This window comes from Homo sapiens, chromosome 2 (genome assembly GCF_000001405.40).
Source record: "Homo sapiens chromosome 2, GRCh38.p14 Primary Assembly".
Lineage (NCBI taxonomy): Eukaryota > Metazoa > Chordata > Mammalia > Primates > Hominidae > Homo > Homo sapiens.
The window spans coordinates 169759370-169776153 of record NC_000002.12 but is presented as its reverse complement, the minus strand read 5'-3'; the positions used below and the strand labels follow the sequence as shown (position 1 = coordinate 169776153).

Here is a 16784-nt window from a genome sequence, read left to right as displayed (position 1 = left end):
GAAACTTTTTTAAAAAGTATATTATTAATTCCAGGTTGGTTAATAGCCTTTTGATCTCTTTTGGTTTTCTCCCATCTCTCCTTTCTGTTCTGTTTCCCTTAAAATAACACTCAGTGCACACACTGTTTTCATTAAATGGGTGTGTTTATTCTAAAAACAGAGCTAAGAGTTATCAACCGGCAGATTCTTCCTGCTCAGGCCTCCTTAGTGTCTAAACAGTGCATGACTCGCAGAAAATGCAAAGTGGTTTGTTCTGGTTCTTAGAGGCAGAGTGTTAGGAGGGCCAACTGATAGAAACAGAACTTAATCATTTTAGGATTTCAGGAGTATCACTGTAGAAGACAAGGGTGAATGCAGGAGTCAGCCTGTAGACTGTGTACAATCCTAAATTCCAGCCTCATCTGAAGAAAATGAACCTATTTTCATGAAAATGCACCTTTTATATTTCTTATAAATGGGTAGCTTAATAAGTGTATGTATTTATTAATATAACTGATCCTTGATTTTGGAGATATAAAATATTCTAAAAGAATTAATTTAGCCTAGGGAACATCCTCTTAGATAATAAGTCTATAGATGGCTTCACAGTACACATGCCTCAGGGCCTTTGTACCTACTGTTTCCAAGGTTATAGCTTGCTTCTTCAGGGCTCAGCACAAACATCATCTATTAGAGAGGTCGTAGCTGACCACCTTATATTAATAGTACCTCCCCCACAACGATTTTACTCCATCACCTTCATTCTGATTTTTTTTCATAAAACTTGTTACCAGCCAGACATGGTGGCTCACGCCTGTAATCCCAACAATTTGGGAGGCTGAGGTGGGCGGAATCACGAGGTCAAGAGATCGAGGCCATCCTGGCCAACATGGTGAAACCCCCTCTCTACTAAAAACACAAAAATTAGCTGTGCATGGTGGTGAGCGCCTGTAGTCCCAGCTATTTGGGAGGCTGAGTTAGGAGAATCACTTGAACCCGGGAGGTGGAGGTTGCAGTGAGCTGAGATAGCACCGCTGCACTCCAGCCTGGGGACAAAGCGAGACTCCATCTCAAAAAAAACAAAAAACAAAAAACAAAAAACAAACTTGTTACCACCTGATATCTTATTATGGGAACATACAAATTTTGTGGGGCCTGAAGTTTTTATAATGGGGGGGCATTTTTTAAAGAAACAAAATATAAAAATTGCAATTAAAAATTAAGTATGAGCTGGGCGCGGTGGCTCACGCCTGTAATCCCAGCACTTTGGGAGGCCGAGACGGGCAGATCACGAGGTCATGAGATCGAGACCATCCTGGCTAACACGGTGAATTAGCCAGGCATGGTAGCAGGCGCCTGTAGTCCCAGCTACTTGGGAGGCTGAGGCAGGAGAATGGCGTGAACCTGGGAGGCGGAGCTTGCAGTGGAGCCGAGATCACGCCACTGTACTCCAGCCTGGGCGAGAGCAAGCCTCCGTCTCAAAAACAAAATAAAAAAATAAAAATAAATAAAAATTAAGTATGAAAGTGAATATTAATGTGAAAATAAATCATAAATTGCTGGAGTCTTGGAGCTTCAGTTCTTCCTTCTAGGATTTATTTAGGCAATTTACTAGAAATGCTTATGTAAAAATGTGTAGTTGTTGCAACCTGGCTTCCACTTGCCACCTAGAACATTCTATGGCCCTCAGCAATTACCAGCCCTCCCTGGGGTATCACAGTAAATCTGACTCTGCATATTAAATATCAATTTGCTTGTTTGTTTATTGTCAGTCTGTATCAATGGAATGTCTTAAGCTTCTTGAGAGCAAAGATTTAACCTTCTATGTTGCTTTATGCCCAGTGCCCACAACAGGAGTAGGCACGGGGGGCATATCATACATGCTTCTTTAATAAATTGTATCTGTCCCCGAAAATCAACTGGGAAAAAATAATCCTTCCTCCTCTCCCATTTTAGCCACTCTGTATTGTCATAGCTCTGTGTTATTGTCTTTTAGTACTATCACTTAAAAAATTAGCTTACTGCTTACTTTTTTTTCTTTTTAAGATAGGGTCTCCTCTGTCACCCAGGCTGGAGTTGTAGTGGCACAATATTGGCTCACTGCAACCTCCACCTCCTGGGTTTAGGCGATCTCATGCCTCAGCCTCCCAAGTAGCTGGGACTACAGGTGTGTGCCACCATGTTTGGATAATTTTTTTGTATTTTTACTAGACATGGGGTTTCACCATGTTGGCCAGGCTGGTCTCGAACTCCTGGCCTCAGGTGATCTGCCTGCCTTGGCCTTCCAAAGTGCTGGGATCACAGGTGTGAGCTACTGCGCCTGGCCTGCTTGTTTACTTGTTATCTGTGTCCCCTACTAGAGTAGGCCATACTAAGAAAAGAGAGTGTCTTGCTCCCATTTTCCCAGAGTTTTTAAAGCAAGGCACAGAGGAGGCTCTCAATAAGTATTTTTTTGAGTAAATGAAAATAAGGCAAATAAAAAACTTTTCACGATGAAACTTGCCATGTACTGCAACTCTCCTTGTACCTCTGTTTTTATTCTATTTATCTGAAAGTTTCATTTAGATACTCAATTATATGCTAATTTAATGAAACATAATTAAGTTTTAAAAAAAGTAAAATTATAATAATCACTTCACTTTACACCTTAGCTAAATAAGTACAAATGCATTTTGATTTGACAGAAAGATTGAGTAATTAATTTGTAACCATCTACTAACAAGATTTGAAAGATACAGGTACTTAATAGTACTTTCAGACACAGGATTTCTGCTCTGAATTTGCACTCACCCATGATTTCTGTGACTTTAGGGAGTATCAAATAGAAAATGCTCCTACGTACCAAGTTTTCTTCCCTGGAGGCAAAATAAAATAAATAAACTGACCAATTTCTTATATATTATTTCTGAAATATGCTATGAAGGTATTAGCAGATATTTATATATTTTTCTTTTTCTTGCACAATTTATAGCATACTATACTCACAATTCTGTACCTTTTGTTTTGTGATTCTGTTTTTTTAATATATCTTGGAGCTTACTAATATTTTTGGCTGCATAGTAGTCCATTGTGCAACAGTGTCTTATTTAAATAATCCTCTCTATGGACATTCAGATTGCTCTCAGTCTTTTGGTATTATAAACAGTGCTACAATGAATAACCTTGTACACATGTAACTTCATACATATGTAAGTATGTCTGTAGGATAAACCCGTAGATGTGTGTTTGGATCTTATAGCAATAAATGACACTCCTCATCCTCACCCAAATTCTAAGCCAATTAGGAAATAAGACAAAAGAGGCAGACAGGTGATTAAAATGTCACTTCATTACTGGTGACAGCTGATGTTGAAGCATGTTGCTTACATTTGCAGATAAGAGAGCTTCCCAATTCTGGATCTCTTTCCATTTAATCATAGGCAATGTTCTTCAAACATAGGTCTCCCCATGCAGGTTTTAGGAAGATGATGGGCTGAATGCGGCCTTCCCAGTTTATTCTTTACAAATTTAACAATTAGAGGAGTCACCCCTCCTTTCTTAGGGAGAAGCAAGTGAGGAGGAGAAGAGAGGCCAGCAGCATTAAACCAGGAGAGCTACTTCAGCCTGGAAGTACACATCAAGAAACATTCCCGCCCTAACAAAATACTCTCATGTTCAAAACGGTCTTCAATTGGTAATTGTAATATATTTTTCTCAGTTGTTCACCAGAAATGTGTCAATTTACACTCCTTCCATGAATATGCACCCAGGCATATAAGAAAAGTTAGCATTAGATAAATGTTTTTCAATTATCCTTGGTCTATTCATGTCTCACTACCCCAGAGGTTTTTCTTGAATTTTCTTACATTATTTTGAAATATAACACAGCAGAATTTTATTTTATTTTTGAGACAGAGTCTCACTCTGTTGCCCAGGCTGTAAGTGGAGTAGTGCGATCTTGGCTCACTGCAACCCCCGCCTCATGGATTCAAGTGATTCTCCTGCCTCAGCCTCCCAAGTAGCTGGGACTACAGGCGTGCACCACCACGCCTGGCTAATTTTTGTATTTTTAGTGGAGATGGGGTTTTGTCATGTAGGACAGGCTGGTCTCGAACTCCTGACCTCAAGTGATCTGCTTGCCTTGGCCTCCCGAAGTGCTGGGATTACAGGTGTGAGCCACCGTGCCCGGCCCAGAATTTTAATTATAGTGGCTTCATAGCATTTTAATGTCTGGCAGAGACTGTCAATTGTCACAGTATCCATTGCTCCCATCTTCCTGTTTGAAACCAGACTCTCTGAGCTTTCACCCAGGCCTATGGCTGTCCATCTTTGTGTGAGTCATTGTAGCACCCATGCATATAATTGTAAGGACTTTGACTTTAGCTCTGAGTGAAATGTGGAGTCATCGCAGGGATGTGAACAGAGGAGTGACATGATCATAATGTCTTATAGACTAACCTGTAACTATCTGCTCATAAGGAAAGCCTGGTAAAGTGCAAGGTGCTTCTCTAATCAAAGAACTGACTGCAAAGTAGCCCCAAGACTGGAAGTAAAGCTGCTCTACAAGTTAGGGACACTAGGCCACTGGAGAACTGGGCGAGTGGCTCTCCTTTCCCTCATCTTAAATTCTTCTAAATGTTTGGGGTTGTTTTGTTGTTGTTGTTGTTTTTGAGACAGGGTATTGCTTTGTCACCCAGGCTGGAGTGCAGTGGTGTGATCTCGGCTCACTGTAGCCTCAACCTCCTAGGCTCAGTTGATCCTCCCACCTCAGCCTCCCAAGTAGCTGGAACTACAGGTACACGCCACCATGCCTGGCTAATTTTTTGTATTGTTTGTACAGACAGGGTTTTCCCCTGTTGTCCAGGCTGGTCTTGAAATCCTGGCCTCAAGCAATCCACGCATTTGGGCCTCCCAAAATGGTGACTAGCCATGAGCCACTGTGCCTGACCTAAATATTTGGTCTTTACAGACAAGAAAGGAAACAGAAACGGGAAGGAGACTGATGGTTTCCGATCCTGATTTTATGAGCCAGGATGCTGTGCAACTTCCACAGATGTTTTGTTATATTTTTGCAGTCGTTTTCTTGTCAAACTTTGAGCTTCCTCATTGAAAAAAAATTTCAAAGTTTCATTTCATCCATTGTAATGGCCAATAACTTCTTTAAAATTTATGGAATAAAAGCACAGAGCTTCACAGAAGGTGGATGTCACTATGGAAAGATGTCCAGTTAGAACTACTTTTAAATATATTACAGCTACGCAAGATGAAAAACTCAAATAGGGAATAGAAAGCTACAAAATACACTTGAAGACTACAGTTGTATCCAGCCAAGACAGTAATGATAATTTCTGCTTTCTTTCATTTCCTTTCTTTCTTTCTTTCTTTTTTTTAGAGAGAAGGTCTTGCTCTGTCACCCACGCTGGAGTGCAGTGGCACAATCATAGCTCACTGCAGCCTACACCTCCTGAGCTCACGTAATCCTCCCACCTCAGCCTCCTGAGTAGCTAGGACTACAGGTGTGCACCATCACACCTGGCTAATGTTTAATTTTTTTTTTTTTTTGAGGTGGAGTCTTGCTCTGTCACCCAGGCTGGAGTGCAGTGGTGCAATCTCAGCTCACTGCAACCTCCGCCTCCAGGGTTCAAGCGATTCTCCTGCCTCAGCCTCCCGAGTAGCTGGGATTACAGGCATGCACCACCACGCCCAGCTAATTTTTGTATTTTTAGTAGAGATGGGGTTTCCTCTGTTGGCCAGGCTGGTCTCAAACTCCTGACCTCAGGTGATCTGCCCGCCTTGGTCTCCCAAAGTGCTGAGATTACAGGTGTGAGCCACTGAGCCCAGTCTACTAAATTTTTTTTTTTTAAGGATGGGATCTCATTATATTGCCCAGCCTGGCGTCAAAATCCTGGCCTCAAGTAATCCTCCTGACTTGGCCTCTCAAAATGCTGAGATTACAGGCATGAGCCATCACACCCAGCCAGTAATGATCATTTCTATTGGTCACAACTTTGGTTTAAATTTTCTAGTAACTTTTTTTATAATCACAAAAAAAAGTATTATGACAAAAAACTTGGAACTCATAAAATTATTAGTTAATTGAACTATAAAAATAAGCCATGGCAGTGAGCAGAATGGGGAGAAGCTTGTAACTCTGATCACAAGAAAGGTGGTCATTTTTAAAAAATATAAATGGTTCCTATAAACCAAGAAGAAAATCTCAGCAATCCATAGGGAAAACTTCTGAATGGAATAGGCACACAAAAGATAAGATAGTTCACTCAGAAAGATGAGGATGCTAAGCAATACATTCAAAATTAAACCAAAGTAAGATACCAGTGGCACAAACCAAACACTTTGCTGACACTGTGGGATAGGCTAAGGCAAATTCATATATTGCTTATGAGGGTATAAATTAATAAAACTTCTTTGGATTTTAATTTCTCAATAGCTCTAAAACTTTAAAAGGAAACTATCCTTTGGCCTAGTGAATCCACTCTAAAAAATTATCTCACAGATATGGTTCCTGTGTATAGGTTAAATAAAAGACATTCATTCACTGAGCACTATTTATAAAAGCAAATGACTAAACAATCTATGAGTCCATCAATAAGATTCTGGTGAAATTATGTTTCATCTACACATTGGAAAAGTATAGAGCAGTTAAAAAATAAAATAAATTTATATGCACTGACATGTTCAAATCCTCTGCCACCGTAGATGAAAAATATAATCTGCATAACATGAATAGTACAATATTTATGAAAAAGGTATATTTGCTATATCTTTGATATGCATGTATTGCATAGAAAGGGCTTGTAAGTATGTAGACCCACTTTTTAACATTTCCTTTAAGAGGAATGGGATAAAGAGGTTTAGATCTTTTTCCCCACTTTTCATTCTATACTTCTTCACAAGGAGAATGTATGTACATGTTACATTTGTGGATAGAGAATAAAAATAATAACTAAGTTAAGTGTATCAAGTTCACAAAAGCGTTACCTGAAACTGCTACTGGGTGAACCCCAAGAAAGGTAATATCTGTCACTCAGGACATGTGGAATTTCTATGTTATTTGTGTATGAGAGAAACACCAAATTCTCCCAATAAATTGCGAGTCCCGTAGGATAAGCACACATCTGATGGCCCTGAAGAAGCGTTCCTTGTGTTTGCTGAACCCCTGAGAGCCCAGGCACGCCTCAAACACATTTAAGATTTGTTGGGCATCCGGGCCAGCCACGTGCTCCCAACGCCGCCTCCGGGTCGGGGCGCGCCGCCAGAGCTCAGACTCCCCTAGAATGCCTCCAGGAAACCGTCGGGTGGGGCGGAGATCTGCTCCCCGCAGCGGCTTTTTCACCTGCCGTCCCGCCTGTGCTTCCTGGAAATGAGTTTCTGTTCCTCTAAGGTCGTGGGGCAGCCGGACCCGAGCCTGGGGCGAAACGGGAGCTGAAGTTGGCGCCCAGGAAGAGGGACTGGGCGACTACCCGGAGTCGGACCGGGAGTCCGAGCGGGGTCAGTCAGAGTCGGAGGGGAAGCCGGAGCCGGGCCGGGGCCAGACGGCGCAGCTCGAGGTCTGGGTCCGGGTCGGTGGAGGTCCCGGGGTGGGACCAAGGACCGAATCGAGGCCGGTCTGGGCGTCAGGGCAGCCCTCGGAGCGGCGATCGTTGCTGGATAAGGGGCCGCAGCCACCCCGGCGTGGGTTGGAAGGACGCACCCCTGCTGGGGCGAAACCCCGAATCCGTAGCCGTCTGCCCGCGACTGCCAAGCCGACCGCCTGAAAGGGCCGCTGTCCCGCGCCTTCCAGTGGCTGGGGTGGTGGTGGGCACCCCGATCTTCCTCTGGCGCCCATGATGCTGCCGGCCGCGCTGGGCTCCGGCTTCCTTTACCTGCCCGAGGACGAAGAAGGTCTGGAGGAGCCGTGCGCCCAGGGGAGCCCGGCCAAGGCTGAGTGGGCTTCATGCGGGGCCATTTCACCACCACCGACTCCTACCGCTTCTCCAGGAGGCGCCCCGAGGCCAATTTCGCCTCCATTTTGGTGGTCTCCCACAGCGACTTATAGCTGGAACCAGATACCTTTGCCGAAGTTGGTAAATTGGGCAGCCTGATGCAGGATCTGCAGGTCCCAAGGGGAAACGGAAGCCACATCCAGTACCAGCAGGTGTCCCTGAGGCACCAGACGCTCTGTGTGCCCCCCAACCCGCTCCTGGATGCCTGGCAGGTGGACAAAACGCTTGACCTGAGCAGCATCACCTTCCCCATCTACAACCACAGCGGGCATCTTGTCTTCCTGACCGGCTTCTTTGGAAGACACATCTTGGGGGACAGCTTGGGAATGGGCCAGTTACTTCTGCAGGCCAAAGCCATGCAGCTGCTGTACTACCTGAAGACCCAGCACCGGAGGACAACGTGCAGAGCAAGCAGTGGCTCACCCATTTCCTCCACCAATTTAACAATATTAACAACAGTCTGGTCATGAAGAAAATTGAGGTACCTGGCGGTTCAGGTTTACAAGGAGGCCAAGAGAAGGTGGGAGGGATGAGGAAGACTTGTTCCCAGAACCGTAACAAAAGCACCGCATGACTACTTCAAGGGGTCCTTGCCTCAAAGCCGGGTTTGCTTTACTGTATTTGTCACTTAATCCAACTCTTTTAAATTAACACCGACGGATGCCAGGAATCGTGAATTCTTGGTAACATTCAGGTCGGTAACACAAATCCTGTGTCCACCAGATGGGGCTGTTCAGCACAGACACTGATCTTCGTGTTTAATTTTGGGGTTTGGTTTCTTATCATATTACAGTGCTTTGACATTCTACTTTTAGTTGAAGTCTTCACTGGTTTTGGGGAGCCCCCAAAACTTGCTTGGTGCTCGCTGAGTATTTTTTTTTTTTTGGCAGGTGGTCCACTTCACATTGCTTTCCAGACAACTGCAATTTGAGGCAACTTCTATGACAGTGATCCCTTTGTTTCACCTGGCATACATTCTAATCATACTATTTGCAGTCACATCATGCTATTGTTGCTGCAAGTTCTGGATCAAAAGTATCATCTGTGAACCTCAAGAGCAGGGGGGACTTGCCCACCCCACTCTCAAGAAGATGAGGGTCTTCAGGGTGGTCAGCATGTCCTCGTCCATCCTGACCCTGCTCCACTCTGAGCCCAGCTGGCCGCCCCGGAGTCCACTTCTGAACCCTTCAGCAGCTCTAATAATTTCATAAACCAGTTGTATGCTGTCATTTTAGTGAGGCTGAGTAAATGTTTGGATTCATGGGGCTTCTTAACTGTGTGCAATTCCTGCCCCAAACTTTCTTAGACAAGTTTCTTCTTGTTCAAGAAGACAAAGGTTATGGGCTCCATTACCTTGTCTTCCTAACTTCTTTCAAAAGCAGATATAAAAGGGAATAGGCATGTTTTCAAACCAATAACTTTGTGTTAAAAATACTGGAAAATACTTTTCTTTTGTGTGTGTGTGTTGATTGGACCTCCTAACATGTTGACAAGCAAAAATGTTACATGGAAGAGCCTTTCTAAAAGCTGAACCTCTGAGAATAAATGCCTTATACTAGGAATTGGGGAAGAGAAAAGCAGAAGGAAGTTCTAACAAAGATCATGTTTCAAAGACTTTCAGAAATTATGAAGGACACCTCTCTGAAAAGTACTCCAGTATGATGTTCCTTGAAATGGATATGGCTGTCAGGATGTTGCTTCAGAGTGTGAAGTCAAATGCATGCTAACCTTCCAGTTTTGTTTTTGTTTTGTTTTGTTTGACACAGGGTCTCTGTCACCCAGGCTGGAGTGCAGTGGCACAATCTCGGCTCACTACAATCTCTGCCTCCAAGGCTTAAGCAATCCTCCCACCTCAGCTTCCCAGGTAGCTTCAACTACAGGTGTGCACCACCATGCCTGGCTAATTTTTGTATTTTTAATAGAGATGGGGTTTTGCCATATTTCCCAGGCTGGTCTTGAATTTCTGAGCTCAAGTGACCCACCCACCTTGGCCTCCCAAAGTGCCGGGATTACAGGCATGTGCCACCATGCCCTGCCAACCTTACAATTTTTTAAAAAGAGACAAAATGTGGTTGAATTATCTGGAGCTAATAAGAAAAAACTTGAAGCAACCATTAATCAATCTAATCATGTTCTCTGAAAATATAACCAGCCATTGGCTATTTAAAACTTGTAATTTTTTTTATTTACAATAAGTATGGAGACTATACTGCCATCTGATTATAAATGACAATAAAATATTAATTCAACCCTTTAAAAAATTTTATGAAGAACAAAATGCTCTAAACTTTCCTACTTTTAATGTATGTTTAGTATTTCTGGCTGGAATTCCATACCATTCTTTCCTTCTTACTAAAATCTCAAGTTTCAGGTGGCAGCTTGCCAGTTTCAACCTCACCTTCTCATCTGCTTTCTGACTAAAATGTTTAAGAAATCCGGCCAGTCATGGTGGTTCACGCCTGCAATCCTAGCACTTTGGGAGGCCAAGGCAGGTGGGTCGCTTGAGGTCAGGAGTTCAAAAGCAGCCTGGTCAACATTGTGAAACCCTGTCTCTACAAAAAATTAGCCAGGCATGGTGGCGTGTGCCTATAATCCCAGCTACTCGGGAAGCTGAGGCACAAGAATTGCTTGAGTCTGGGAGGTGGAGGTTGCAGTGAGCCGAGATCATACCACTGCACTCCAGCCTGGGCGACAGAGAGAGAGACTATCTCAAAACAAACAAACTAACTAACTCAATAAATAAATAAAATAAAATCTGGAATTATTAAAAATTCATACCCAAACTGCATGTTGGCATTGTTATTCTAAGAATGGTGTGTGTGTGTGTGTGTGTGTGTGTGTGTGTGTGTGTGTGAAGGAGGGAGGGAGAGAGGGAGAGAGGGGGAGAGAGAGGGAGGGAGAGAGAGAGAGATGTGGAATAAAGCAATGAGTTACAATGTGATATCCCAGGTGACCTTGAGAACCAGAATACTTTCTGTGGGAAAAAGGGCTACCTATAGTTGTTAAAATGCTTTTACCATTTCCCTGACAATGCTAGAACCTTAAACATGTTAAATTCTAATACCCCTCTCCTGCTTTTGTGTTATGTATTTTTTTTCTAATTTTTAGAATTATTTATAGTGAGCTATATCGCCCAGGCTGGTCTCAAATTCCTGAGCTCATGCAACCCTCCTGCCTTGGCCTTTCAAAGTGCTGACATTACAGGCATGAGCCACCACACCCAACCTGTGTTATTATGTACTTTAATTTTAGGCCTAGAGACAATGAACAATCCAGTAGCAATAAGCATCCCTAGCATCCAGACTATAGTCTTTAATGAGAAATACCATTTCTCACTAAAAGAAACTAGTGCTGCTTAAACAAATGGTTCATTCCAGGTTTGACGCAGGAATTGTACAAAATGGGCCAGGTGCATCTTGTTATACAAGATAGCAAAGAAGCTATCAAAAACTATTAAGGTTTTAACTGAAGTAGTTGGAAACAATCTGCAGACGATTCCACTGGCTCAAGATGGAATAAATCATGCATGAATAAGAGTAACTGCAGTGGACTGAAAAAAAATGTTTAAATTAATGATTTAAAAATGATTAAATAATGATTTTTTTAAAAACCTAACCGGCCGGGCACGGTGGCTCACACCTGTAATCCCAGCACTTTGGGAGGCCAAGGCGGGCGGATCACGAGGTCTAGAGATTGAGACCATCTTGGCCAACATGGTGAAACCCCACCTCTACTAAAAATACAAGAAAAATTAGCTGAGCGTGGTGGTGCACGCCTGTAGTCCCAGCTACTCGGAAGGCTGAGGCAGGAGAGTCGTTTGAACCCGGGAGGCGGAGGTTGCAGTGAGCCAAGATCATGCCACTGTACTCCAGCCTAGCTACAGAGCGAGACTTCCTGTCTCAAAAAAATAAATAAATAAACCTAATAAATCATCTTTGGAGGACGCTAACAACTATTTTGCAAACTAGTAAATAAAGGGAAGAATCAAGCATTTAACCTGCCTTTCCTACACAAACTGTAACTCTGAGTAAACAACTAGTAAATGAGGGAATGTCTCTTTTTATAGAAGTATTTAAACAAATAGACCAAGAAGAGACAACAGCGGTCAGGCGCGGTGGCTCATGCCTGTAATCCCAGCACTTTGGGAGGCCGAGGCGGGCAGATCACGAGGTCAGGAGATCAAGACCATCCTGGCTAACACGGTAAAACCCCATCTCTACTAAAAATACAAAAAATTAGCCAGGCGTGGTGGCGAGCGCCTGTAGTCCCAGCTACTCAGGAGGCTGAGGCAGGAGAATGGCGTGAACCCAGGAGGTGGAGCTTGCAGTGAGCTGAGATCGTGCCACTGCACTCCAGCCTGGGCGACGGAGCGAGACTCTATCTCAAAAAAAAAAAAAAAAAGGAAGAGACAATAGCATTGGAAATCACCATTTTGCAACCCTTAATGAATTAAGGATCTAGGATTGAGCATCTACAGCTGCTAACATCACAGATAACCAGACGTTAGGTTTTTTTTTTTTTTTTTTTTGAGATAGAGTATCACTCTGTTGTCCAGGCTGGAGTGCAGCGGCACCATCTCGACTCACTGCAACCTCTACCTCCCAGGTTCAAGCGATTCTTGTGCCTCAGCCTACTGAGTAGCTGGGATTACAGGTGCCCGCCACCATGCCTGGCTAATTTTTTTGTATTTTTAGTAGAGATGGGGTTTCACCATGTTGGCCAGGATGGTCTCGAATTCCTGACCTCAAGTGATCCCAGCCTCGCAAAGTGCTGGGATTACAGGCGTGAGCCACCACACCTGGCCCAAATGTTAGGTATCTTTTGTCAAACACATCATCACCTATGAAGTAGTCTTGACAAAAACAAAATCAAACCTGAATCTGATTAGGCCTCTAGATCTAAGTATCAACATATAGGACATACAGAGAACAGAGGAATGTGCTAATCTACACAACATGAATCAGTAAAATACCAACATTGAAAAAGTAGGATATATGATCAAGGTTCTTCAACAAATACACTGCCAGGAGTTGAAATAAAGAAGAGATGGACAAGGAATTTATAAAATAAGAGAGCTAAAAGACAAAGCAAAGCTAAATACAGTGTTTAGAGATTTACAGTTGGGTGATGTAGTGAGTTGAATGCAAATATGACCACGTCCTACTACCTGGAACCTATGAATGTTACCTTAATTGGAAAAAGGATCTTTGTAGATGTAATTAAGGATCTTAAGAAAATCATCCTAGAGGCCAGGTGTGGTGGCTCACGCCTGTAATCCCAACACTTTGGGAGGCCAAGGCGGGTGGATCACGAGGTCAGGAGATCGAGACCATCCTGGCCAACATGGTGAAACCCCATCTGTACAAAAAAAATACAAAAATTACCCGGGTGTGATGGCACGTGCCTGTAATCCTAGCTACTCTGGAGGCTGAGGCACGAGAATCACTTGAACCCAGGAGGCGGAAGTTGCATTGAGGTGAGATCTTGCCACTGCACTCCAGCCTGGCAACAGAGCGAGACTCCACCTCAAAAAAGAAAAGAAAAGAAAAGAAAGTCATCCTAGATTATCCTGGTGGCCCTAAATCCAACAACAAGTGTCCTTATAAGAGTTAGGCAGAGGGAGATTTGACACAGATGGAAGAGGAGGAGACAATGTGACCAGGGAGCAGAGATTGGAGTGATGTGGCCACAAGTCAAGGAATGCCAGCAACCACAGGAGGCTGGAAAAGAATGGATTCTTCCCTAGGTCCCCCAGGGGTGCAGCCCTGCTGGCACCTCAAATTCAGACCTCTGGGCTCCAGAACTTTGAAAGAACACATTTCTGTTGCCATCTAGTTTAATTTTTTACAGCAGCCACAGGATGCTCATAATACAGGTGGATAATATCCAAGAGAAAGAAAATAATCCCCATAGTGAAGACAGAGGTTATCGATAAGGGTTTAGGAGATACATGTGGAGGGTGTCTGGGGTAGTTGGCAAGGTATTCTCTCCTGACATGGATGCCAGTTGCAAGGTAGTTGCCCTTTAATAACTCAAGCTGTACATTTGTCTCATGTGGATTTCTGTATTCGTATCATATTTAACAGTAAATAAAGTTTTCAAAAAATCATACAACTAGTAAAGCTCTAATCTCAAATGTCTGCCCGCGCACAAGGAGGGCCTGTGTTCTCTCGACAGGGAAGAAGGTACGACTCATTTCCTTGATGGTCAAGGTGTGAGGAGGGAAAAGCTATAAAGGGTTAGAGAAGGGCTGCAGAAACACACCTTCGGGAAACCACAAGTACCACTTTTATGTATTTATCTGTCCAGGAAAGAACTAGAAACAAAAGTTTGTCTGTGAACTTTCAAATGAAAGATGTATTTCACAAGTCTCTGCTGAAAGTGTTCACAGATTATACATGCTCAGCCTGACTTTTAAATGCCACTGAACAAAGGTTGGGGAGTGGGTAATAATTAACTACAGTCTATTAAGGCTGATGGATACAGTGCTGGTACTTCAGATTTCCCAACGAGAACCTCTGTAGGTACTTGTAGGTATACAATCTTGTGGTCTGTTTTGAATTTCAAAGGTAAAAGTTGAAATGTTGGCAATCTTGTGTATCCAACGTGGCACAATTTGCAGTGACTCTTCCTAAACCAGCTCAGAACACCCTTAGGAGGCGGCCAGTTGGGATCTGCAATATTCACTGGAGGTTTGAGCAGGATGCTCAACACCCGTCCAGTGAGGCCCCCACAAAAATATTATCTTTTAACTCAGAGGGCCCCAGTACGAGTTTAACAGTCTATGACTCACAACTTCAAAATAACATCGAAATTCAATTCAGAGTTAAAGACTGTATGACGATGCCCCGGATTTTAAGAAGACAGTTCTGTTGGCCATATTTTTATGTTCATTGCTATATAGTCCATAAAATTTGTGTCACAACTTCTTCTTTTCTTGAATTTTTATAATTTATATACCCCAATTTTACTAAAGACTACTATATTGTTTTTGTTTTTCAACCTTTATTTTAGGTTCAGGGGTACATGTGCAGGTTTGATATACAGGTTAATTTGTGTCATGGGGGTGTGTTGAACAGATTATTTCATTACCCAGGCATTAAGCCTAGTACCCAACAGTGTTTTTTGTTTGTTTTAAGCAGAGTCTCGCTCTGTTGCACAGGCTGGAGTGCAGTGGCATGATCTCAGCCCACTGCAGCCTCTGCCTCCTGGGTTTAAGCAATTCTCATGTCTCAGCCTCCAGAGTAGCTGGAATTACAAGCATGCACACCCATGCCTGGCTAATTTTTATACTTTTAGTAGAGACGGGGTTTTGCCATTTTGGCCAGGCTGGTCTTGAACTCCTCACCTCAAGTGATCCACCCGCCTTGGCCTCTCAAAATGCTGGGGTCACAGGTGTGAGCCACTGCACCTGGCCCCAATAGTTATTTTTTCTGCTCCTCTCCCTCCTCCAACCCTCCACCCTAAAGTGTTTGTTGCTCCCTTGTGTTCATGGATTCTCAGAATTTAGCTTCCATTTATAAGTGAAAACATGCAGTATTTGGTTTTCTCTTCCTGCATTAGTTTGCTAAGAATAATAGCCTTCAGCTCCATCCATGTTCCCACAAGACATGATCTCACTCCTTTTTAAGGTTGCATAGTATCCCATGATGTATGTGTACCACATTCTCTTTTTGCAATCCGTCATTGACAGACATTTAGGTTGATCCCATGTCTTTACTATTGTGAATAGTGCTGCAATGAACATTTGCAGGCATGTGTCTTTATGGTAAAATGATTTATATTCCTTTGGGTATATGTATACCCAGTAATGGGACTGCTGGGTCAAATGATAGTTGTTTTTAGCTCTTAGAGGAGTCACCACACTACTTTCCACAATGGCTGAACCTAATTTACACTCCCACTAACAGTGTATAAATGTTCTCCTTTCTCCACAACCTCACCAGCATCTGTTATTTTTTTCGTTTTTTAGTAATAGCTATTCTAACTGGTGTGAGATATTACCTCACTGTGGTTTTGATTTGCATTTCTCTAATGATCAGTGATACCGACCTTTTTTTCATAGGCTTTTTGGCCACATACATGTCTTCTTTTGTAAAAGGACTAGTATATCTTGGCCGGGTGTGGTGGCTCACACCTGTATTCCCAGCACTTTGGGGGGCCAAGGCGGGGGAGATCACCTGAGGTCGGGCGTTCGAGACCAGCCTGACCAACATGTAGAAACCCCATCTCTACTAAAAATACAAAATTAGCCAGGCGTGGTGGCACATGCCTGTAATCCCAGCTACTCAGGAGGCTGAGGCGGGAGAATCGCTTGAACCCAGGAGGCAGAGGTTGCAGTGAGCCAAGATCGCGCCACTGCACTCCAGTCTGGGCAACAAGAGCAAAATCCCGTCTCAGAAAAAAAAAAAAAAAAAAAAAAAGGCCAGACACGGTGGCTCACGCTTGTAAACCCAGCACTTTGGGAGGCTAAGGCGGGCAGATCACGAGGTCAGGAGATCGAGGCCATCCTGGCTAACACGGTGAAACCCTGTCTCTACTAAAAATACAAAAAATGAGCCGGGCGTGGTGGCGGGCTCCTGTAGTCCCAGCTACTCAGGAGGCTGAGGCAGGAGAATGGTGTGAACCCGGGAGGTGGAGCTTGCAGTGAGTAGAGATCGCACCACTGCACTCCAGCCTGGGCAACAGAGCGAGACTCCGTCTCAAGAGAAAATAAATAAATAAATAAGAAAAACGACTAGTATATAATGTTAGGTGATGCTTTATTTATTACCTTCAATAAAAATGAGAATTCCTCTCATTTAATTTCTTGACAATAGAATT

The 16784-nt window shown here is 43.3% G+C and overlaps 2 pseudogenes; both read left to right on the top strand.

The window, feature by feature from the left end:
* On the top strand, nucleotides 7611-8465 carry PTCHD3P2 (patched domain containing 3 pseudogene 2; annotated as a pseudogene).
* LOC171417 (thioredoxin 1 pseudogene 7) lies at nucleotides 9598-10229 on the top strand (annotated as a pseudogene).